A 26,331-nucleotide genomic window follows, 5' to 3' on the forward strand; every position below is an offset into this window, starting at 1 on the left:
ATGGTAGATGAGTCCAAATTGGATAGAAGGAGCTAAATCCCTACCTCACTCCCTACACCAAAACAAATTTCAGATCAACATTAAACTTAAAAATTGAAATTATAAAGGTGTTGGAAGAAAGTGTGAGTGGATTTTTCAAAATAATATGCGCATATAGAAGACCTTTAAAAGCGTATTACAAAATCCAAATTCCACAGAGGATAAAAAGTGCTAAATATGACTGATTATAAAATTTTAAAACTCTGCCTGGCAAAAACACATCATCAAGACAAAAAAAAAAAAAAGGAAACTGGAAAATATTGCCACACATATTATGAACAAAAATTTTTGTCTCTTTGTGAGTATACAAAGAACCCATAAACAAATTTTTTTAATGGGGGAAAAACAAGAAAATGAGAAAATAATTAGGGAGTTCATAGCAAAAGAGAAACAAAAAGGCAATAAACCTTTAGAATTATAAAAATGCAAATTAAGATGAAAGATGCCTTTTTCACCTACTAGAAAGGAAAATATTTACAATATTAATAATGTTTAATATCACTGAGCATGTAGTAAACTAATTTCACATCTCCTTAGAGGGCCTTTAAATTGGTGACATTTCTCTGCAGGACAATTTTGGAATATCTTTCAAGATTAAAAATGTACAACCCTTTGACCCAACAAGCATTTTCCCAGGAGCTTATCTGGAGACATTAACAGAAGCCTGCACCAAGATTAACACAGCTGAATGCTCACTGCAGTCTTGTTTCTGAGAGCAAATGCAGGGAACAACCTTAAGTGTCAGCAGCAAAACTGAGTCAGTACTGACGCCGATCCCTCTCCTGGGGGTCAGGATTTTTCCTAGAGAGTGAAGGAGTGCTTAATGCAGTGGAGAGAAGGCAAATAGCTCAGGTGGAAAATCACTAAGACCTACACAGCACCATCCATGCTTACGCTCAGCTATTTTAATAAGGAGTCTTATTTTTAAAATTTTTTTTTAAAAAGCACTGAGTAGAAAAGCATTCTTATTACACCACACATTTAGTAACCATAGGGGCTTGAAAAGCCACAGCAAAATTTATCTGGGGTCCTACTCTAAGCCATGTATCCTAGTTAGGAACATGGCTGGTGTCAGAGTCCACATAACTCATCGCCCAATTCAGTACCTTTTCACTAGAGAAGATATGGTCATATTTATTATCTTCTATGTTGGAATACTCATATATTTGAATAGGACCTGAACAAAAGTCTCTTAGCATTTCCTAAGCTTTACACCTTAAAATAAGCACTGTAAACCTCTTTATGTTATCAGTCGCAAGCTGTTCCTGTTTGCATCTGTGAGGCCTGGTAGCAAACTTCTGGCTAATTATGCTAGTGTGAAACTGGCTATCATGCTTAAAGGCAAGTTTACATTAGAACGATTAACTACTGAGTTAATTTCTGTAGTGTGAATAAGCTCAACTGTCATATTCTATATCATCAAATTAGAATTTGGAAAAAATAATTGTTTTCATCGAGACATTTTACAAAGATGAAGTTGGTGAACCAAAGGCTAAATATATATTTTTAAATATGTATGCATCCAAAGCACTTAACTACAGATTAAAATGGGTGGAGCACCTGGGAATCTTGTATAAATTATACTGAAACTCAGTGTTGCCATTCCTATAAAATAGAGACAGATTGCATCACTTCATTTGGAGAATATCATATCTATATTTGTACCACTTTTGCATTTTAAATGATAACTATGTTTCTTGCCCAGATTTAGTCCAAGATATGGATCAATACTTAATTCAATAGTTCTTAGAAATTTACTCTGAATATAATCCTTACCAATTAAAACATGTTCTCTCTTTCAAAAGCACAAATCAATACATGCTGTCTTAGGGCAAGTTATTGCTGTTTTGTGATTCACCTAATGTATCTATGGTAGGGACTATATTACGGTCAATATAAAAGTAGAAACTTTTCATTTTGCAATTAAAGCCATAGTCATTCATAATTATTATTTTCATGCCTGTGTCCCCTTCTCCCTTTCCAACACACACAAACACACACACACTTTTGTAAACCTTGAGCCATGCCCTAATACAATGTTCTCAACAAATATTTGTTGGATTGATGATGAAATGTCATTTTCAACCATGGGAGACTCTATCTGCTATCTAGCCAATATCCCTTCTTGCCTCTACCACTCCTGTGAAGAAGACCTGGATTTGTTCAATTGGTGACTAGGAGCTTTACCCCAACCACAGGTGATGCATTGTGATTAGTCTAAACCAGTCATAGCAATCTCGTCCTCCTTGGCCAATATTGACCCAAGGGTGGCCCCATAATCCAGTTCTGGCCATTGAGATGTAAGTGAGTCTTCTGAGTAGGACTTCTAGACTATCTTTTGCTTTCTCACTACAAAAGATCAGACTCAGCTGGCAAAACGCTTTGTCCACCCCTTTCTTCCTGACTAGAATGCATGGGAAGCCCAGAGGGGCAGCTGCCATTTCGCAATCACAATAAATAAAGGCAAAAGACTGGGCCCACAGGCACACGCCCAGCTAATTTTTTGACTTTTTGTTGAGATGGGATCTCACTTTGTTGTGAGGTCCCCATATTATCATTAGTCGTCAGCAGGGGCTCCTTTAATTCCCAAAGATGATCCATATTCCTTACCCCCTTCATCTCCAAGCCAGCAAAGAATGCTTCACACATCACATACCTTTCATGCTTCAAATCACGGACTTCCCCTGCCCCTAGATTCTGATGTAAAGGGTTCATGCGATTAGGTCAGAGCCACCAGAATAAGCTCCCTATTTCAAGGTCAACTGACTTAGAACCTTAATCACATCTGCAAAATTCCTTCACAGCAGTACCAGATTAGCATTCTATTGAGCAATTGGGAGAAGGTGTGGGGTCCACCATGGCTGGGAATCCTGGGGCTAGCTTAAAATTCTGCCCTATATCACACCTTCTTGAGGACGGGGTCCTTATGTACATTTCTTAACTTCCTGCCTTTCCTACCACAGTGTCCTTCTGATGTTTTTGTTCTGCTGTCAGAAGTCTATTTGTGTTTGTTTATTTCAGGTTTATGTTGAAAGCTTCATAAGGCTCAGGTATGTTTATGGGCCACCTGTGTAGATTATTAGCCAATGATTTATTCACAGTGGACGTGATTTAGTAAGTCCAAGGTGAAGCCAAGAATTTACATTTTTTTTTTTGAGACGGAGTCTCACTTTGTCACCCAGGCTGGAGTGCAGTGGCGCGATCTCGGCTCACAGCAAGCTCTGCCTCCCCGGTTCACACCATTCTCCTGCCTCAGCCTCCCGAGCAGCTGAGACTACAGGCACCCGCCACCACGCCCAGCTAATTTTTTGTATTTTTAGTAGAGACGGGGTTTCACCGTGTTAGCCAGGATGGTCTCGATCTCCTGATCTTGTGATCTTCCCGCCTCGGCCTCCCAAAGAGAATATACATTTTTAAACAGTACCACGTAAGGGTTAAGAGGCAGGTGGTCCATGAATGTGAATGCCTTGAAGGCAGAGGCCGTTCTCACCAGTGCTGCTGCAAGGCATTGATAATGAAAAGTATATAAATCACCTGGTACATATTAGGAATACAAGGAATGTTGGCCCTTTTGTTTCTCTGACACCTGCCATATAGTATGCATTAAATAAATATTAGTTGAATGGCAAAATATGTTAAGAGTACCTGCCGGGCACAGTGGCTCTATGCCTGTAATCCCAGCACTCTGGAAGGCCCAGATGGGTGGCTCACCTGAGGTCAGGAGTTTGAGACCAGCCTGACCAATATGGTGAAACCCCATCTCTGCTAAAAACACAAAAATTAGCCGGGCATGGTGGCATGTTCCTGTAGTTGCAGCTACTCAGAAGGCTGGGGCAGGAGAATCACTTGAACCTGGGAGGTGGAGGTTGCAGTGAGCCAAGATCACTCCACTGCACTCCAGCCTGGGCAACAGAGCAAGACTCCATCTCAAAAAAAAAAAAAAAAAAAAGAATACCTTTGGCTGCAAAAATACAGAAAAACAACCTAATACTGTGTTGTCCCCCAACACAAGATGTGGGTACATTGTTGCAGAAACTGGTTCAGCAGCAAAATGATCTCAAGGCTCTGAGCTGGTGTGTCTGTGATTATTTTTTTAAGAAATCAGGTTTATTAAAATATAGTTTACAAATCATAAAGTTTACCTGTTTCAAGTATAAGGTTTGTTAGTTTACATATATTTACAGAGTGGAGCAACCATTACTAAAATCTAATTTTAGAACATTTTCATCATCCCTCAAAGAAATCCCAAACCCATTAACACTCATTCCCAAGCCCCTTCTCCTTTCCTAGCCCTAGAAAACCACTGATCTATTCTCTACCTCTATAGATTTGCCTATTCTGGACACTTCACATAAATGAAGTCACATAATACGTGGGGTTTATTGTCTGGCTTCTTTCACTTAGCATAATGTTTTCAGGGTTCACACATGTTGTACATGAATCATTTTTGTTTCATCTTTTAATTGTGGAATAATACTTCATTATATGGATATACTACATTTTGTTTATCTGTTCTCTGTGATTGTCTTGATCATCCCCTCACAGTAGCATCCTTTTAAATTGTATTCAATGCAGCTAAGGAGAAGCAGTCCCCTCACCATTTCTCCTTTTATAAGGAAGCAATATTTTTTCCAGGAGAACATGAGCAGGCTTCCTCTTACATCTCATTGGTCAGGATTGGGACACATGACCACCTAGGCTTCATGGGAAGCTGGGAAAGTAAGCATCTTTGACAGAAGGCAGGCAAGGATTGAGGGGACTGGAAGTGTCTCTTGGATTTCTGCTCCTATGGGATTTATAATTATTTTTTTCATTGTAAATGAATGCTTAGCTATTCCTTCTTTATAGACATTGGCATTTTGGTATACAAGTTAGGGTTATGTCTGGTTGAACATAATGTCTCTCTACTAGGAGAGTGACCTTTAACTGACTCTCAGAAATGGAGGGTAGGCTAACAGATTATAATTTCTCAGACCTTCATATATATATATATATATTTTTTTTTATTGTTATTGTTTTTTTTTTGAGGCATGGTCTCTCTCTATTGCCCAGGTGGATAGCAGCAATGAGTTCATAGCTCACTCTAGCCCCAACCTCCCAGGCTCAAAGGATACTCTCACCCCAGCCTCCAGGGTAGCTAAGACTATAGGTATGCGCCACGATTCCCGGCAAAATTTTTTATTTTTTTGTAGAGACAGAGTCTCACTATGTTGCCCAACCTGGTCTTGAACTCCTGGGCTTAAGCAATCCTCCCTCCTTGACCTCCCAAAGTGCTGGGATTACAGGTGTAAACCACCACACCCAGCCTGACCTTTATCTTTTAAAGATACATTCTGAAATATTTACAGGTGAAATTATATGATGTCTGGGATGTGCTTCAGAATAATCTGGGATGGAGGGAAACAGATGGGGGTATGATGGGGCAGTATTGGCTATGGGAAGGTGATTGTTGGGATGGGATGAGGGGTACATAGGATATTCATTACACTAGGCTGTCTGCTTCTGCATGTGTTCTAAATTCTCAAAAAAAATTATGTAAAAGATCAGTCTAAAGTCAATAACAGTAGTAGCAGGTCTGACTAGAACCTTAGTGATGGTGATGACCCATCTAAAGACTGTAGATTCAGAGCAAGGAATACATGTTGGTGGTTGAAGAAGCAAGGTTGAACCGTGTTCACCCACTATTGTCTGGAGGAAAATCCTCTGATCATAGAGCTAGAGATGCAGCCCCTGGTGCCCATCTATCTCCATGTAGATTGTGAGTCCTCAAGGTCTCTGACTTAATGAAGCTGGCCCTAAAAGCTGGTCTGCTAGACCCCTTGCCTTCCTTTCTCTGCTTCCCAAACAGATTTCTAGAGGAGAGAATATATTGACTCAATTAAGTAGTCTGGCCCCATGGGATTTATGGTTACCTTTTCTCTGTAAATGAATAATTTGTGATTCTTTTTTATATACATGGAATTTATAATTATGTTTTCATTGTAAATGAATAATCTATTCCTGTTTATATACATTATTATTTTAGTCTAAGAGTTAAGGATATATTTAGTTGTATATAAAAAGAATCCAAAATAAGAGTGGCTTATATGCACAAAGTTTATGCTTACCTGCAAAAGAAGACCACAAGTAGGTGGATCAGGATTGGCATCAGTTCACAAAGTCAGTGGAGACCTAGGTTATTTCTGTCTGTTCCATGGTATTAGTCTGTTCCAGCTGATATAATAAAAATAATATATATTAGATGGCTTAAACAACAAACATTTATTTCTCATTGTTCTAGAGACTAGGGAGTCCAAGATCTAGGCAACAGCGATTTAGTATCTGGTGAGGACCTGCTTTCTGGTTCATACATGGCTCTCCTTTAGCTGTGTCCTCATATGACAGTAAAGGGCAAGACAGCTCTCTAGGATTTCTTTTATAAAAGCACTAATCCCACTCATGAGAGCTCCATCCTTATGACCTCATCACCTCCCAAAGGTCCCACCTCCAAATACCATCACAGTGAGAATTAGGATTTCAACATATGAATTTGTCGGGGGCAAAAGGGACACAAACATTCAGTCTATAGCACCCATCACCCTAGTGATTAATTTCTGTCTTCATAGTCACCTCTTGCTGCAAGATTGCTGTTGAAGCTCCAGCACTCAACTCTGTATTCCAGGAAGCAGGAAAAAGAATAATGTAATACTCCCCATTGGCCAGAACTTTGACAATGCCCACATGTATCTGAAAGAAAGACCAAAAAAGGTAATTATCAGCTGAGCACATTGCCACCTTGAATAAAACAGGCTCTAATTACTAAGGGAAAAATTAGAAGAGATGTTGGATAGGCAATTAGCACCCCAGTTACTGGTTACTATTAATCAGTCCCCAAATTCTAATCAACCATGGAGTTGCCTAACGCAAGTTGCTGCACTTCCAAGATTAAAGTAGGTTCACCAAGGCAATATCTCTACCAAGAAATTGAAAGCTTGCTGGGTAAAGTGGGGGTAAATTTTATAAAAGAAATGTAACTAAAAGGAAAATACAGTTGATCCTTGAGCTACATAGTCCATTTATAAGTGGATTCTCTTTGCCTCTGCCACCCTGAGACAGCAAGACTGAACTTTCCTCCTCTTCCTCCTCCTCAGCCTACTCAATGTGAAGACAATGAGGATGAAGAACTTTATAATGATCCACTTCCACTTAATGAAGAGTACGTATATTTTCTCTTATGATTTTTTAATAACATTTTTTCTCCAGTTTACTTTATTGTATGAATGTAGTATATAATACATATAACATGCAAAATATGTATTAGCTAACAGTTTATATTATTGGTAAGTTTTCCAGGCAACATAGGCTATTAGTAAAGTTTCAGGGGAGTCAGAAATTATACAGGGATTTTTGACTGTGCAGGAGGTCAGCACCTCTAACTCCTGTGCTGTTCAAGGGTTAACTGTGTAAGTCCAGAGATAAGTTTTAGATTTACTTTGACTCAGAGGTTCATGTGGACATTAGGTCTTTAGCCCTGTTTATTTTTGATTCTTAAAGCTGTGTCCTCCTCCAGCTTCACTCTCAGGATGACTTGGCTGTGGAAGTTAAGCTTCTGTCAATAGCTGCTAAGTCGTCTGTCTGCTCTTCCTTCCTTTCTTCCTTCCTTTCTTCCTTCCTTCCTTCCTTCCTCCCTCCCTCCCTCCCTTCTTTCCTTCCTTCCTTCTCTTCTTTCATAAATAAGGTATATTAAGTGTCTTAACTCAGAATTTCCCAGCTGTTTCCCAGCAACGTCAAAAGTACTAAAGTAGACAGAATAGTTTCTCCCTAAGATGTCCACATCCTAGTCTGCAGAACCTGTGAATATATCACCTTCTATGGCAAAACGGGCTTTGCAGGTGTCATTAAGTCAAAGATCCTGAGATGGGGTGATTATCTTAGATTATCCAAGAGGGCTCAGTGTCATTGCAAAGGTCCTTATAAGAGTGAGGCAGGAGGATCAGAGTGAGAGAAGGAGATGTGACGAGTGAAGCAGAGAGGAATGCAGGCAGTCTCTAGGAGCTGGAAAAAGCTAGGAATGGGTTCACCCCTAGAATGCCCAGAAGGAACTCAGCTCTGCCAATACCTTGGTTTAGCCCCGTAATACCCTTGGACTTCTAATGTCTGGAGCTGTAGGATAATTATTTAAGCCACTAAGTTTGTGATGCTTTGTAACGTCACCAATAGAAAATTAATATAGTCCTCAAACCAGTGCTTCAAATTATAATGTTCTATGAACTCGCTTTACACTATTTTAACTAAAGGGCCCAAATATTTTAATTCTATTTTTAAAGTTGTTTTCACATATTTAATAATTTTAATGTTAAGATATGTAATATCTGATAATGTCAAATAATATCTGCTAGATAGATAAACCCACCACCAATTAACACACTAGAACATTACCAATTTCATTCTGTGTGCTTCACCTGATCCTATCACCCACACCCCCAAAGGTGTGGGTGATACCTTGAATTATATATAATATATAAATATAATATATTGATATAATAATGTATTAACAATATATATTAGTGTATAACTTATATTATATATAACTATATTATTGTATATTAATATAAATTAATGATATATAATATATTAATTATATATTATTATATGTGATATAAAATACTTATATTTATACTGTATATATGTATATACACACATATATGTATATATGTATATATACACATATGTATATATGTATATGTATATATGTATACTGTATATATGTATATACACACATATATGTATATATGTATATGTATATATGTATACTGTATATATGTATATACATATATACATATATGATATATATCACATATATGTGATATATAAATATATTTATATAAATATAATATTAATATTTATATTATGTTATATATAACATGTTTATATTATGTTATATAAATATTATAAATATATATATTTCTATTTTATATGTATCACTACTCAAGACATCGCGTGTTCTTGTTTTTGAAAATTATAGTATTGTAAATTGTTCTCTACAAATTACTTTATGTATTTATTATTTTTAAAGAATTTTTTTAGATAGAAACAGGGTCTCACTATGTTGTCCAGGCTGGTCTCAAACTGGGCTCAAGCAATCTTGTTTCTAATATTTATCCATATGGTTATGTGAACTTACAGTTCATTTATTTTCACTACTGAAATATATTCTATTCTGAGACCATATCACAATTCATCCATTCTCCTACAGATGGATGTTTACAATACTTTCATTTTTTTGTTATAATTATGAACCATGCTATTATGCACATATTTGTACGTGCCTCTTAGTGCACATGTATAAGAGTTCTATTTTAAAGATAATGCAAAGTTGTTCTCCAAAGTGATAACAATTTCCATTCATATCAGCAATGCCAAAGTGCTCTCATGGCTCTAGCTAATCACCAGCCTGTAGTATTTTCATACCTCTTAATTTTTGCCATCTTATAGGCTTAAATAATGTCTCATTAGAGTCTTATTTTGCAGTTCTCTGATTACTAATAGTGTTTAGCATCTTTCCATTATTAAAGTTGCTCTAATTATGTGGTTCATGTCTTTTATCCATTTTCTGCTGGATGGTTTGTCTTTTTCTTATCGACTTGCAAATAATATGTTGCTAGTTATATAGCTTGTAAATATCTTCTCCCAGTTTTGGGCTTCTCTTTTCATTTTCTTATGATGTCTTCTGCAGTGCATAAGTTCTTAATTTTAATAGACTCAAATGTATCAATATTTCCTTTCATAATTAGCAGTTTTGCCTTATGTTTAAAAATCCTATCCTGAAAATATATTTTCTTACATAGCCTTCGAAACATTTTTAATCTTGACATTTCATATGCAAATCATGATCCACCTGAAATTTATTTTTGTGGGTGGTGTGAGGTATGAGTTCAGATTTATTTTTTTCCATATGGATAATTAGAGGCCAGCACCCATGTTGAATCTTCCATGCTTTTCCCAATGATCTGCAATGCCATCTTGTCACATTTAAAGTTTGCTTATGCGTGTGCATCTATTTCTGGGCTCTATGTTCAGTTTCATTGGTCAATTTTTCTCTCCCTGAGCCAAAACCAATAGACTTAATGATGCTGGCTTTGAAATAAGTTTTGACTTCTAACACTGTGAACATCTATAAAACAGGACAAAGACATGAGACAACAGCACAGGGCTGTGATCCTTAAGAGTAAGACACAGAAGGGGAGCTCCACATCCAGCTCTCTTTCTGCCTGTGGCATTTTCTAAGCCAAGGCATTGAGAAATGGAGCTTCAACAAAAGCTGTGCTCTTACTGGATGGAGGAACAAAGATCAGATTTGGGGGCTGCTGAGGCAACTGGAAGTTGTGACATAGGTGTTGGAAAGAAGGGAGATAATAGAGAAAGGCTTCTGTTTGGTTCAACACTAAGCTCAATCTCTGAAGGTTTCACAGAGCTGAGATCAGTAAAGTTATAGCCAGTTAGTGTAGAGAGATCTATTCGAACACTGTGGCAATGAGTTGAGATTCTAGAGGACTATTCTTATGGAGTAAAGCTACCCTAGCCTTAAAGTGAGGGCTTACGAAGCTGATCTTACAGCAAATTAACTCCCTACAAGAACAAGGCTCAGCATTCTTGAAGGGAGACAACAAAATCCAAAGTCCTAACAACTTAGTACAGATTGAGCATCCCGAATCTGAAACTCCAAAATTGGAAACTTTTTGAGCACCAGCATGACACCACAAGTGAAAAATTCCACACCTGACCTTATGTGATGGGTCACAGTCAAATAAAGGCACACAACGCACAGTTTATTCAGCATCCCCAAGGGAAAACGACCCTCCCAGCCCCCTTCAGCTGTAATACATCTTTTCGGCACACACCCAGATTCTCCCTGCAAGCATGCCCACGATGAGTAATGAAACGACACACGTATGTACAGGCTGGATCCATGTTCCCCATGATGCTCCACATGGGGCCAAGACCTACATGCATTACTCACTGTGTTTTCTTGCTTATTCTCTGCACTGTGGTATAGATATTGTTGCAAATGTCAAAAAATCTTGCAGATATCCTTATGAGTACAGTGATAAGGAAAAGAGGAAGTATTTATGCTTATCCATAGCACAGAAAGTCCAGCTGTTGGAGAAACCAGCCAGTGGTGTAAGTGTAAAACATCTTACAGAAGATTATGGTATTAGAATTACCAGCATACATGCCCTGAAGAAACAGAAGGATAAACTGTAGCAGTTCTATGCTAAAAGTGATGAACATATATTAATGAAAGTGAAAAATGGGAAAATGCTGCATAAAGCTAAAAATGAAGATCTTGATCATGTGTTGAAAAGGTAGGTCTGTCTGTGTCACAAAGAACACATACAACTTAATTGTTTGCTAATCACAAAACCAGTAAAGAACTATCACAATGAACTGAAAAGTGAAAGGAACTGTAAATATTCAACAGACTGATTGCAGAAATTTGAGAAAGACATACTAATTTTTCTTAGCACATCTTGTTGTTGGCATTTCATTAATGAAGTTTATTTTTCTAAAAGAAATTTATTATCATTAAAATTATTATACATACAGAAAATGTATTAAACATATATGTGCATTTTACTTTTTATTTATTCTATTTTAATTATTTTATTTTATTTTATTTTATTTTAAGGCAGGTCTGGGTTTATTGCCCAGGCTGGAGTGCAGTGGCATGATCTGGGCTCCCTGCAACCTCTGCCTCCCAGGCTCAGGCAATCCTCCCACGTCAGCCTCCTGAGTAGCTGGGCCACAGGCACGTGGCACCACACCCAATTAATTTTTGTATTTTTTGTAGGGATGGGGGTTTTTGCCATGTTACCCAGGCTAGTCTTGAACTCCTGGACTCAAGTGATCCGCCCACCTCAGCCTCCCAAAGTGCTGGGATTACAGAGGTGGGCCACTGCACCTGGCCCTATGTGCATTTTAAAGAGTACTATCAAAGCAAACATCCATGTGAAGACCACCCAGTTTGGGAATGGTACTGGCAGTACCCGAGAAGTTCCCTCTATGACCTTTCCTTTTGAGGCAGGAAAATAGGGTCTGGGGGCAGGAAACATAAGGCCTATTGACACTTCAGCTATAACAGGAAATATCCTCTCCATAGGGCATACATCGAGTAAATGACTTTGTAACTTTACTTCATCCTCTTCATTTACATAGGGGGTACCCCAAGTGGAGGGTATTTAAACTCACAAAAACTCTGTAACAGGGCCTTTGAGCCCCTATGCTCGGGCCAGCTCCCATACTGTGGAGTGTACTTTCATTTTCAATAAATCCCTTCATTCTTTCCTTGCTTTGTGCGTTTTGTCTAATTCTTTGTTCAAGATGCCAGGAACCTAGATACCCTCCACCATTAACACTTTACAGATCTGCAAGTATCATCCACACTTTTGTAACAAACTTTTCTATGTGTTTCTTTATAGTTTCTTTTATCAGAATGCTTTTTATTTGTATTTTATTGTGGGAAAATCTTAATATAATCACTTGATCTCATTGTGTAATTTCTGATGAGCTCTATTGGACAAAGTGACTGGACATAACTTGTGATAGTAAATGGAAGAAGGAGTACATTTTCACCCTTAGGTGTGCTGTGGCCTTAGCATTAATTTCATAAATGTTTTCTTTGGACTCACTTCAGAGCCTCTGGGGTCAAACCCTACTTTGCTCACTGGTGGTCCCAGAATGATACCCAAAAGAGAGGTAGATATATCCTTTGGGGTTAACAATGAACAGAACCTGTAAAAATTTGAACCACTGCTTTAAATTTGTAAAGACTGCTGGTGATTAAGCATCTGCTGATCACAAAGCAGCAGAGGAATTCACTGATGAGTTCGTCAAGGTCATCGCTGATGAAAATCTGATGCCAGAACACATCTATAATACTGATGAATCAACACTTTTGGCCTTATTGCTCCAGAAAGACACCGACTACATCTGATGAGAAAGCCCCTACAGGAATTAAGGATGCAAAGACAGAATAACTGTGCTGGGATGTGGTAACACAGCAGGTATGCATGAGTGTAAACTTGCTGTGATAGGCAAAAGCTTTGCTGTCCTCAAGGAGTGAATTTCTTAGCAGTCCTTTATTATGCTAACAAAAGGCATGGATCGCCAGGGACATCTGACCTTCTTACATATTCAAGAAATGTATCCTTAAAATCCATCAATAAGCTGGAAGAAGGTGATAATTGAAAAAGTTTTTAACATCAATAACAAGGCTCCAGTTGTTTATTCAATGATCAATGGTGAAATATGACAAAACAGTTCCCAATCAAGATGATGATAATAGTGATGATGAAGATGATGTCAACACTACAGGAAAAGTATCTATTGACAACATGGTGAAAATGTGTGGTGGGCTTTTTGAAGGACTACAGCAGTGTATATTTATAACAAGACAAGAAACCTTCTCAGTTTATAAAATCAAGAAAAGACATCTAAGCAAAAACTCATTGTTAATGAGGCAGATTATTCTGGAGAAAACATTTTTAAAAGCCATCCTGCAGAATGCCTCTTCATTCCTAGAGGACCTATTTCCTGGTCCCTCAATTACTTTTGATGTTTCTTCTTACCAAACAAAAAAAAAGAAAAAGAAACACACTGTCTAGTAACCTTTTAGTCAAAGAAAAGCATCAGGTGGAGGTTGCAACCTATCACTGTTTGTTGTTGCCGTTGTCTAACAGCTGAGACAGGTATTCTGGTGATGCTACTGTGCTACTTAGTTATTCTGCACACAATATTTCTTCATTGTATTAATGGCATATCATATGTTTTAATGTTAAGTATTTATGTGTGAATAAGCTTAAGAAAATTATTGCTTATGAGTAGCATATCAGTTTAGAGCCAGGGATGATCGTGATGCCAAACAATCAGATTGTTCACATGGGTGGCTAAGATTGTGACAGCTTTGCTTCCTGGTGGCTCAATGCACAAAAACTTTGTTTCATGCACAAAATTGTTTAAAATATTGTGAAACTGCCTTCAGTCTACGTATATAAGGTGTATAGGAAATATAAATAAATTTTGTGTTTAGACTTGGGTCCCATCCCCAAGATATCTGATTATATATATGCAAATATTCCAAAATCTGTAAAAAAAAAAAAATTCCAAATCCAAAATACTTCTGGTCCTAAGCATTTTGGATAAGGGATATTCAACGTGTATTAACAATGACCAGCATACAAGCTAGGCATGGTGGCTCACACTGTAGTCCCAGCTACTCAGGAGGCTGAGGCGGGAGGATCACTTGAACCTGAAAGTTCAAGGCTGCAGTGAGCTATGATTGTGCCACTGCACTCCAGCCTGGGAGTGAGACTTCATCTCTAAAGAAAAAAATGGCAGAATACAATGAAAAAAATACTTGATATGCAAAGAAGCAGGAAAATGTGCCATAACCAGGAAAGAAAAATTTAGCAAAGTTCTCCCATCTTTGCATCCTCAATGGCAATGACCAGATGTTGAATTTAACAGACAAGCACTTAAAAATAGCTATTATAAATATATCCATGGATGTAAAAGAAAATATGCATATAATGAGACATAAAAATGGGGAATATTAATGTAGTAATGGGAATTCTAAAAATTAGTAATACCACATTTGAAACAAAAAAGTTATATTTTCAGGAAATAATAGATGGAATTAATAGCAGATTGAAAATTGCAGAGAAAAAGATCCATGCACTTGAATAAGAAACAATAGAACCTATCTGGATTAGTCTGCTAGTAATACATAGCAAAATACCACAGACTGGGTGGTTTAAACGAGACAAATTTATTTTGACAGTTCTGAAGCTGGAAGTCCAAGATCAAGGTGTCAGCAGGGTTAGTTTTCTCTAAGGCCTCTAACTTTAGATGACCACCCTCTTGCTACCTCTTCATATGGGTGTCTGCTGTGCACATATACCCTTGGTGTCCTTTCTCTTCTTATAGGACATCAGGCAGATTGGATAACTCTGATATTCTCATTTTATTTTATTATTTTATTTATTTTATTTTATTTTAATTATAGGCTTCTCAGCTGTCATATTTTCATTTTAACTCAGTCCCCTCTTTAAGACCTTATCTCAAAACTTGATTACACACTGAGGTACTAAGGGTTGGGAATTCAAAATATGAATTTGAGGTAGGGGCACAATTTAGCCCATAATACTATCTAAGAAGCTGAAGAAAAAAGATAGGGGGAAAAGCTGGAAAAAAAGAAAAAGAAAAGCATCTTAGTAACTTATGGCAAATATTAAGCATTCCAAAACATGTGGAAGTATAGTCCCAGAATGAGAGGATTCAAATATTAGAACAGAAAATATTTGGAGAAGTAATGACCAGAACTTTTCCCAATTTGATGAAAGATATCTGAAAGCTCAGCAAAACCCAAGCAGGCAAGTTCCAAAGAAAACCACACCTAGATATATATTAGTCCAATTCCTGAGTCTTAGAAGTAGCCAAAGCAAAAAGGTTTTACAATCAGGGAAGTAAACATAAGAATGACCACAGTCTTCTCATCAGAAAAAATGGAGACCTAAGCATAAGAAGATGACATCTGAAAAGTATTAAAAGGAAAAATCCCTGTCAACTCAGAATTTTTTTTTTGACAGAGTCTAGTTCTGTCACCCAGGCTGGAGTGAAGTGGCATGATCTCGGCTCACTGCAACTCTGCTTCCTGGGTTCAAGTGATTCTCCTACCTCAGCCTCCTGAGTAGCTAGGACCATAGGCACACGCCACAACGCCCAGCTAATTTTCGTATTTTTAGCAGAGATGGGGTTTCACCACATTGGCCAGAATGGTCTTGATCTCCTGACCTTGTGATCCTTCCGCCTTGGCCTCCCAAAGTGCTGGGATTACAGGTGTGAGCCACCGCGCCTGGCATCAACTCACTCAGAATTCTATATCCAGCTAAAATACATTGCAATACAAAAGCAAAATAAAGACCTTTTCATGTAAATGAAAGCTGAGAAAATTTATCTCAAAAGGCCCACATTGTAAGTTTTTCAGGCTTAAAGGAAATCCTACCAGCAGGAAAGTTGAATCTTCACAAAGGAATGAAAAACACAGAAAATGATAAATATATAGGTAAATAAAAATAAGTTTTGTTTCTGGTAGGACAAATCCCTTTATTCCTTCCCCTCCTCATCATTCTTCCTCTCTCACCTCTTCCTCCTTTGTCTTCAGGAGTAATATCTTAGCTATTCTTGGCTTTTTTTTTCTATCAGTTTTAGAATCAGCTTGTGTGATAGACATAGATTTGCTTTCATAGGCCTCCTTCAAGGAAGAATTTGCTGGCAGGCTGAAAGGAGTACAGTCAGCAGACAGCCCCCAAATATCACTTTCTTTAAGATTAGCCTCAGCTTCAGAGAACCACCTACACAGAGACTTGGCCTTTCCAGGGCAGCCTTTATCTGGTGATTAAGTGGGATGAGGAATATTTTGGCCTGAAGTAGGATGCTCTGAAGGGCAGTACTTTTCTCAGAGCTCACCACAGGGTTGGTTGAGACTTGTCAAGGCTGCATCAGAGTTTAACATCTTCCTCTGTCCAATCCTGCTTCCTCCCTGTTCCTTTCACACCTTCCTAGTTGATATGGTTTTGATCTGTGTCCCCGCTCAAATCTCATGTCAAATTGTAATCCCCAATGTTGTAGGTGGGGCCTAGTGGGAGGAGATTGGATCATAGGGGTGGATTTTCCCCTTGGTACTGTGTCATGATAGTGAGTGAGTTCTCTTGAGAGCTGGTTAAAAGTGTGTGGCACCTCCTCCCTCACTCTCTCTTTCTCCTACTCCTGCCATGTAAGACGTGCCTGCCCCCATTTCTGCTATGATTGTGGTAAGTTTCCTGACACCTCCTCAGAAGCCAAGAAGATGCCAGCATCAGGCTTCCTGTACAGCCTGTGGAAACATCAGCCAACTAAATCTCTTTTCTTTATAAATTACCCAGTCTCAGGTATTTCTTTATAGCAATGTGAGAACTGACTAATATACTTGTAAACATCTAGCACCCCAAACTCCATCTCAACATCTGCTTTTGGAGTACACAAACTATCAAGTCCCTTGAAAAAACTTATTAGAATTTTCATAGCAAATGAATTGATAGTATAGAACAAGTTAGAAGTGACATTTTTTAACACTGAGTTTTCATATTTATCCATATGACATATTTCTTCACTTATGTCTTCTTTAGTATCTTTCAATTAAGTTTTCACATTTCTTATTAAAGGTCTTGCCCATATTTTGTTAGATTATTTTCTCCTATGTAGCTAGGAGAAAATATTTTTGACTGCATTTATATATGCACACACATATATATGTTTAAAGTAAGTTTTCTGAAGGTTGCAAGTTTGTGAAACTGTAACTGGCTTTTGTGTATTGATGATATGTACTTTCTTATTCATACACAGGGCAGAAAGCTATTTTGATACCCTGACCACCAAACAAAAGGATTGAGCTTTGCTCTGATTGAATCACTGGGATCACATGCCCATTCCAAAATGAATGACTGAAGCTGGGAAAATGCTGCATGTTGATTGGTTGGACCTGGGTTACATAGTGCACTGATCTCTGTGGCAACAGAGGTAGAATTATGCAACTATTGGAGGCCAATCAGGAGCCACAGCAGGATCGCATGGCTAGGAAACTGAGGGTCTGATTAGGAAAGATGAGTGGAGGATTTGTTGCTCAGGAAGGGGCCCATTATGTCCACTACTCTGGAAAACACTTCTGTTGCTGTAGGACCCTGGATGCCCCAGTTCCACCAAAACACTGGATTCATTAGAGCAGCAGCAGCAGCAATCTCAACAGCACTTTAGAATGTCACCAAGGTTACAAAGTCCAGGCATGTGATTGGTTATAAAAAGATTTTTCTTATCCCTGAATAATTAACCATTTCATTCCAGAATAAAGAAAATATAATGTTTCCACCACTCAGCAAATATTTGGATGAATTCTTATTTATGTTTAACTCGATCTACATTCAAGACAAAAAAGACAAGCGTTGTTTCTGCCAGACATTCTGTTTTGATATATTATTCTATTTCCACAGTATCCAATGGTTTTATTAATCCCATTTTATAGATGAGACAGCTAAGCCTCAGAATAATGATGTGGAGTCTTGCCCCAGGTGATACAGCTACTAAGATATTGTGACTCAGAATTGAGCATCTAGTGATCCTAAGTCACAGAGCACAGTCAGGTGAATTGGATCTTACTGTCTTAAAACAAATGGTCCCTGTTATCGTGAGCTATTCTGAGGATAGAAATTGTTGCTATGTATACAGTATCATTTGCATTATCTGATTATCAGATCTCACATTTCCATGAGCGTTTTCTTTCACTGCCACATTGACAATTTTGTGTTCTTTTTTCCAATGTTCCCAGTAAGTAGAAAAGCAGTACAAGATATTTTAGTTTTGTCAAATAGGAGCCTGACAGCCAGTATACAGTCGTTTATTATTACAACTGTGTCCCAGGGCACCTCATTGCAGCTATTTTGCAAGGTATTTTTAGCTTCATGCATATGGTCCTGTGTCAGCCCATTTGTTATCTGAAGAGCCAAACACTCGTGTATTTTTAGCAACATGATTACTCTGCTTCCTTTATCTGCAGAAGCCCATCTCTTTGCCAATTACAGGATCCATTAGTTGACCAGCTGCCATATGAGCTCTGCTCCTGACATTAGATGTGTTTTTCTCCTTACGATAATATTTAGAGGAGAAGCTATTCTTTCCTGGAGCAGCACAAGTTTTGCCAAACAATATACCTGAAGTAAATGATTCACTTATATAATCTTTATTAATCTAATTAAAGTTGGCATGATAAAGCTTTTTTTTTTAATTTTGGGATTAACATATTCAGATCTGAACTGTTTGAGAAAAAAAAATGGATCAGAATCCATTTTAATGGTAAGTGTCACATAAACCAAGCACATAATCATTTTGTTAAAAATATCCCACTTAAGCCAGGTGGGTGGTGCACTCCTGTAGCTCCAGCTACTCAGGAGGCTGAGGCAAGAGGATGGCTGGGGTCCAGGAGTTTGAGTCCAACCTGGGCAACATAGAGACATTCGTTTCTAAAAAAAATTTCTTTAAAATATTTAATTAGTACATGAAAACCTACTCTAGTTCTTAAGATGATAACTGGTTTTACCTTCATTTTTTTAAATCAATATATGTAATTTAGTGATTATGCTAGTGTTGAATAACAGTATTTTCTGTAAATTAATACTCAGAAAAGTGTTATCAGAGCCATATTTCATAATTTAGCTTACTAATTAGAAGAAGATTCAAACTATTTACTAGAACAAACTGAGTTGATTTTTTTTTAATTTTAATTTTAATGTTTTTTTTTTTTATTGAGACAGAGTCTCTCGCTGTTGCCCAGGCTGGAGTGCAGTGGCACGATCTCAGCTCACTGCAACCTCCACCTTCTGGGTTTAAGTGATTCTTCTGCTTCAGCCTCCCGAGTAGCTGGGACTACAGGCGCCCGCCACCACACTGGCTACTTTTTTTTTTTTTTTTTTTTTTTTTTTGTATTTTTAGTAGAGACGGGGTTTCACTGTGTTAGCCAGGATGGTCTCAATCTCCTGACCTCATGATCCACCTGCCTCAGGCTACCAAAGTTCTGGGACTACAGGCGTAAGCCACCACACCCGGCCCTGAGTTGATATTTTAATCTCATCCTCATACAGCCCGTCCGTGGCCACGATTTACTAAGTGCTTACTGTGGGCCAGGTACTAGTCTATGCTGGCATTTTATAAATATTATCTCTAATAATCACAGCAACTGAAAAGTTAGGAAAAGTTACTATTACACTATTTGACAGATGAGAAAACTGAGATTTGGAAAGGCTAAGTCACTTGCTATAACATATAACTTTAATCCATTATTAACTACTATCAACTCATAAGTAGCCTAACCATTTTTTAAAAAATCTTGTACCTTATGACAAAAAAAAAACAACACATTTTCTTCTTTAAGCAGCTATTGGGGAAGAGTCCCATTTAACTCCCTTATCTAATAATCACCTATAAAATTATCAGGAAGGCCAACATTATGTGCTGGACTGGTGAGTAACTTTTTGCACAAAGTGAGGAAGGCAGGATCGAAGCAGTCTGTTCTGAAGGGATGTCTAGTTGAATGGTCTGGTTTATTCTCCTGTCCAGTTGGTTTCCAACATCCTTCAGGATGTGAGGCTGTCTCTGCACATTTAGCTATCTTGCTCTGGTCTGTTAAGACAACCTCCTAGCCTTGTTTAAAGGCCATTTTAATTCCAGGATCTTTGAAAACCATGCCGTGGAATCCTGAATCCCTGTTAGAGAAGATAAAAAAAAAAAAAAAAGGAAAACAGGATTCAATTCAATGCTGGATTGCTCAGCACCAGCTAAATAAAAAGCACTGCTTTAATGCTTTAAGGGTAGAAAGTTGAAAAGGGAATCGACATAGTTCTTGTCATCCATGAGTAGTCTGTGGGAGTATATAGGTAGATATGGTAATGACTACAATAGCCAAACTGATCTAAGATGGTATGATGGGGGGATAAAGGAGGGAGAAATTAATTATAACTGGGAGACCAAAGAAAGCATAACAGGGGAAGTAGGATTTGAAAGCCCATTGGTGGCAGGCAAAACCCTGACCAATGAGCTCAGGGAAGGATACAACAGACAGAAGACAGAATGCATTGCACAAAGAAAAACAGAAACAGAAAATGATGTGGGTCAAAGTCAGGGAGTGATGTAAGGGGAAGAAGTTATCCCAGAGACTGGGGGAAGACACAACAACAAGACGGCTCCATCAGGGTCTGACAACAAGGTTCTAGGGCAGAATAAATTACTTTCACCAAATGTATTCACTGGATGATACTAGGGCTTCAGTAGCCCAAATAACCTCCAACTTTAAGTATAGTAAAGTCAGGCATTAATTAGAGCTAGAGGAGACCCTAGAGATCATCTTGTCTAACCCCTTCCTATCTGTGTGTGTGTGTGTACAGTTGACTCTTGAACAAACAGGTTTGAACTGCGTGGGTCCACTTATATGTGGATTTTCTTCTGCCTCTTCCACTTCAAGACAGCAAGACCCACTGCTCTTCTTTTTCTTCCTCCTTAGCTTACTCAGTGTGAAGACAACAAAGACGTAGACCTTTATAATGACCCACTTCCACTTAATGACTAGTTAAGATATTTTCTCTTTCTCTTAATTATCATTTTCTTAATAGTTTCTTTTCTCTAGCTTACATTATTGTAAGAATATAGTATATAATACATGTAACATAAAAATATGTGTGAATCGACTGTTATTTATAAGGCTTCCAGTCAACAGTAGGCTATTAGCAGTTAAGTTTAATGGAGTTAAAAGTTATATGCAGATTTTTTACTATGTGGGGGTCATCACCCCTTACTCCTGTGTTGTGGGAGGGTCAACTACATATATAAATATGCAACCACTGCAATCCTAAGAAGTTAACATGACAATGACTGCACTGGGATGGGACCAGCATTCACGTCTCCTCAAATTCTTAGGAATAAATTTATATAGTTTGGTAGACTTCAGTAATTCTCTGGAAGACTGTGTCTGATGTATGTTAGGCAAAGTCTTGTCTGGAATTAAGACACTTCCTTCTGTGTGAGAATTATCCCCCACTCCGGGGTTAGGAGTACAGTGGCAGACTCCTTGGTACTACAGACCATCAAAAGATTAACCAGGGGACTCTGGCCAATGGAGCTGTTTGGAAATGTCCTGGGATATATGGTGGGAATTACTATTTTCAAGACATACTTTAAGATTTAAAAACGTATAAAAGAATGTGGCCCTAAGTGTGTCACCTTACGATTGGTATACAGGGAGTATATATGCTTTACCTTTGACTTCTCCAAAATGAATGATCTTGGAAAAGTGAATAAAAGAAGAAAGGTATATTAGCCCATTCTCACACTGCTGATAAAGACATACCTGAGACTAGGTAATTTATAAAGAAAAAGAGGTTTAATGGACTCACGTGACAGGAAGGCCTCACAGTCATGGCAGAAGGTAAAGGCACATCTTACATGGTGGCATACAAGAGAGAATAAGAGTCAAGCAAAAGGGGGTTTCCCCTTATAAAACCATAAGATCTTGTGAGACTTATTCACTACCACGAGAACAGTATGGGGGAAACCACCTCCATGATTCCATTATCTCCCACAGGGTCCCTACCACAACATATGGGAATTATGGGAGCTACAATTCAAGATAAGATTTGGGTGGGGACACAGCCAAACCATATCAAAATGGGTGCTTAGAACATGCCTCTACAACTGCATGGACCCTGCCTCCACCTGACTGCTGGTGTAGCAGACGTTTCCTCAGGTTGTAAGGTCTGCCATTTAGATCACTGCACAGACACTCACCTCTTATTGAGTTAAAAAGAACAGTGAAGAAAAGGAGAGATGAGTATGAATAATGGTTTTTAATGAGTTGTATGGTCCTTTAGAGGGACAAGGTGCACTTTTCACTACTACTTACTATTTCCTGCCCACTTGCATTTCCCTACATGAGGCCAATTGTAAAAATTTTTCAGGAATAAAATTTTATTACCCTGGGGTAAATAGGGAAAAAATGATTCTAGGTAAGATAACCATTTGTGTGTATGACACATGAGGGATGTATCAAACATGGGTGGCACAAATCAGAAGCTACTTGTGATGGTTAATTTTATATGTCAACTTGACTGGGCCATCGGGTGCCCAAATATTCAGTGAAACATTATTCTGGGCCAGGTGCAGTGGCACAAAATGGCAGTCCCAGCTATCTGGGAGGCTGAGGCAGGAGGATCGCTTCATCCCAGGAGTTTGAGGCTGTGGTGCACTATGGTGTGCGATGATAGTGCCTGTGAATGGCCTCTGTACTCCACCCTGAGCAACATAGTGAGATGCTGTCTCTAAAATTAATTAAAATTGTTAAAAAAAAAAAACCACATTATTCTGGGTGTTTCTGTGTGTGTGTGTGTGTGTGTGTGTGTGTGTTTTCTTTTTTTTGGATGAGATTAACATTTAAATGGGTAGACTGAATAAATTGATTACCCTCCCTAAGATGGGTGGACCTCATCCATCAGTTGAAGGCCTAAATAGAACAAAAGGGCTAACTCTCCCACAAATAAGAGAATTTTGTCTGCCTAATTGCCTTTAAACTGGAACATCAGCTTTTTCCTGTCTTTGGACTCAAACTGAAACATCACCTCTTCCTGGGCCTCAAGTACACTTCAGGCCTTCAGACTGGAACTGCATCGTTGGCTCTCCTGATCTTTGGGCCCTTGGACTTGGACTGGTTCCACACCATTGGCTCTCCTGGGTCTCTGGTTTACCAACTCACCCTGCAGAGCTTGGAACTTGCCAGCCTCCACAATTGCGTGAACTAGTTCCTTATAATAAATCTCCACAACCTATTGGTTCTGTTTCTCTGGAGAACCTTGACTAATACAATACTCTAGGTATTTGAAGTAGCAAGAGGTTTAGTACAGGGATTAGAAGCTCATTACCCATTTGAAAGACTAGGGGGACCGTTAATTATGGAATCCACTGCTGACGTTTAGGTAATCAGAAAATAAAGGAATCACGGGATCCTGTGGTGATTCACAGGAAGTGGGTGCTCCACAGCAAGGCACCCAAAAGCTGCTGGCCAAGCCCCATGTCTGTCATCTGCTGAGGTTCTCACGTGAGGCTGCCCATGCTGTGGAAGCAAAACAGCTTCTGCTTTTCTCTCCCCTTCAAATATCACTCCGCATCTCCCAGGGAGGAATCTAAACTGGAACTCTGCCAATAAGAGTGAGTTTGAGAAACGTAGTTTTTAGGCCTCCAGCCCCTGTAATAATTGGAAGAGCTTGGAAGAATCATAAATAAAACCTCAGTGAATAAAAAACTTTTGTTCTACTCTTTCCCCTCTTCTCGCTACTGCACTTAACTAGTCTTAAAAAAAAAAAAGGGGTAGGGTCCAAAGGTAGTGAGTTAAGGCAATTGATTGTTCATAGTCAGTTACAGATTTAACTCCTTGTTCTACTCTTTCCTTTCTTCTCACTACTACGCATGACTAGTTTTAAATATATATATATATATAAAATAAATAAAGTAAAATAAAAACAAATTGATAGGATGAAATCTCATTGACCTGAATAACAACAACATCAACAAGATTTATTCCTTCATCAGACACAGCAAAGGCACACATTTTAGCTGTGATGGCAACAGCAGGTGGTGTGGAGACTCCTACCTGTTGACTCTGTGAAGTGATACCCAGAACCAGCACTGTGATTCAGTAGCAAAGCCACGTTCTCCTGGAAGTCCATAAGGCACCATCAGCCTTCCTGGTTCTCAGGCCTTTGGACTGGGAGATGTTCACTGTTTCTATGTATGTCAGTGACATTTGAACAGATTCAGCTATACCATTTCCCTGACACCAAAGTGAAAATTAACCAAGTATAAAAAAAGAAGTGGAAAATTTAAGCCAGACCAGGGAGAAGATTTTGCATACACTAAAAGGTGGAACAAGCTCCTGGTTCTTAGGAAATTAATAAATAGCTCACTTCTGTCAAAGCAGTCAGCAAAACAACTAAAAGAACTCTGTAGCATGGAGAGTATATGGTATATGGTCAACAAATCCACATACCAATTACTACACGTAGACAAAAGGTGTTTACCACAGTTAATAAATTCAATTCATGATGAGATTGTGGATGTATAAAGCTCCGTAAGTGTTTATTAATCAGGCAATACATTGGTATTTTAATGTGGCATAATGTCAACAATAAAACACATTGTAAAAGCTCTAAATATTCAAGCCCCTAGAACATGTAGGTAACATATGCAAATTAGAAATCAGAGTGTGTCTGATTGTCCTGTTGGTCTCCTGTTACCACTTCACTGTTCATGAAGGCTCTCCTTCACTGCATGCTGACCACAGAGGTTAGTGATAAGGAGGGTTTTATGGCATGCAAACAAAGCTGTTAATTTCACCTAATAGAATGGTTACAACTATGAATTAGCCTAATGATGCAGGGGAAATCATCTCTACAATGGCGCAGATAGGAAAATGTTTGGAGATCTGCAGAAATTCCTATTACAGTTAAAGTAAGGAAGAAAGAAGCATCTCATTAACTTCCTAAAATGACCCTTCAAGAAAGGTATCCTAATTGTCTAGATAGTTAACCTGGGGCACAGAGAAGGAAACAGAAATGCCCAAGGACTAGGAGACCTGGGTTTGAATCCAAGTGTGCCTGACTCAAACCTGCTCCACCAGCTCATGTTGCCTCTCAGCATTATTAGTAATAGAAAGGGCATTATTAGCAATAAAAAGAAGCCTGTTATTAGCAATGAGAAAGCACTATGCACGAAAATTATAAACTAGTATTCTGTTAATTATTCTTCTGAGTAGATAAGTATTTGTTATTTAAGTAAGACTACATACCTTATTAAAGTTTCCAGTAAACATATTGACTCCCCTTGAGAGAAGCTGCTGCAAATGTCAAGATGGGTAAAATTTAAACACACATAAGGAAATTCAGATACAGGATTGTTTGCTAACAGACACTAATTATACTAAAAAAGGCAAGAAGATTTGGAGACCAAACATATGACTAAATTAGATGATACAGATGCCGCTGCAGTCTCTTCCACTGCATTCTAGATTCTAGGCGGAGGACTGTTGATTTCTTTTTGGATTGAATGTTGAGACTCTTCTGATATGGTTTGGCTTGTGTCCCCACCCAAATCTTGAATTGTAGCTCCCAAAATTCTCACGTGTTGTGAGAGGGACCCGGTGGGAGATAATCGAGTCATGGAGGTGGTTCCCCCGTACTGTTCTCGTGATAGTGAATAAGTCTCAGGAGATCTGATGGTTTTATAAGGTGAAATCCCTTTCACTTGGTTCTCATTCTCTTTCGTCTGCCACCAGGAAAGATGTGGCTTTCATCTTCCACCATGATTATGAAGCCTCCCCAGCCATGTGGAACTGTAAGTCCATTAAACCTCTTTTTCTTTATAAATTAACCTAGTTTCCGGTATGTCTTTATCAGCCGTGTGAAAATGGACTAATACATCCTCCAAATGAACAACATTGTTAACTGGACTTTCTTGTTTTAAATGGAGTGGTTGAAAATGCAAATACTTCCGGGGGCAAGCTGGCAATAAAATAAGTGATGGGGCAAGATATAAAATAATACGAAGTGGTGAGAACTGTGCAAAAGCCCACAGTAACGCCTTGCCCAAAGAGAGCAGCAGATGATCAGCTTGAGAGATTCTTCACAGTGA

At 38.4% G+C, this 26,331-nt stretch overlaps 1 annotated feature.

Annotated features, from left to right (window-relative positions):
• Nucleotides 12,782-13,379: an enhancer, noted in NCBI's record as "NANOG hESC enhancer chr2:223258471-223259068 (GRCh37/hg19 assembly coordinates)". NCBI's record gives its function as "activates a minimal SCP1, AML or CMV promoter by ChIP-STARR-seq in naive H9 embryonic stem cells {active_cell/tissue: H9 hESC(naive)}" and the evidence as "EXISTENCE:reporter gene assay evidence [ECO:0000049][PMID:30033119]".

The sequence above is a fragment of the Homo sapiens genome, chromosome 2 (assembly GCF_000001405.40).
Source record: "Homo sapiens chromosome 2, GRCh38.p14 Primary Assembly".
Taxonomy (NCBI): domain Eukaryota; kingdom Metazoa; phylum Chordata; class Mammalia; order Primates; family Hominidae; genus Homo; species Homo sapiens.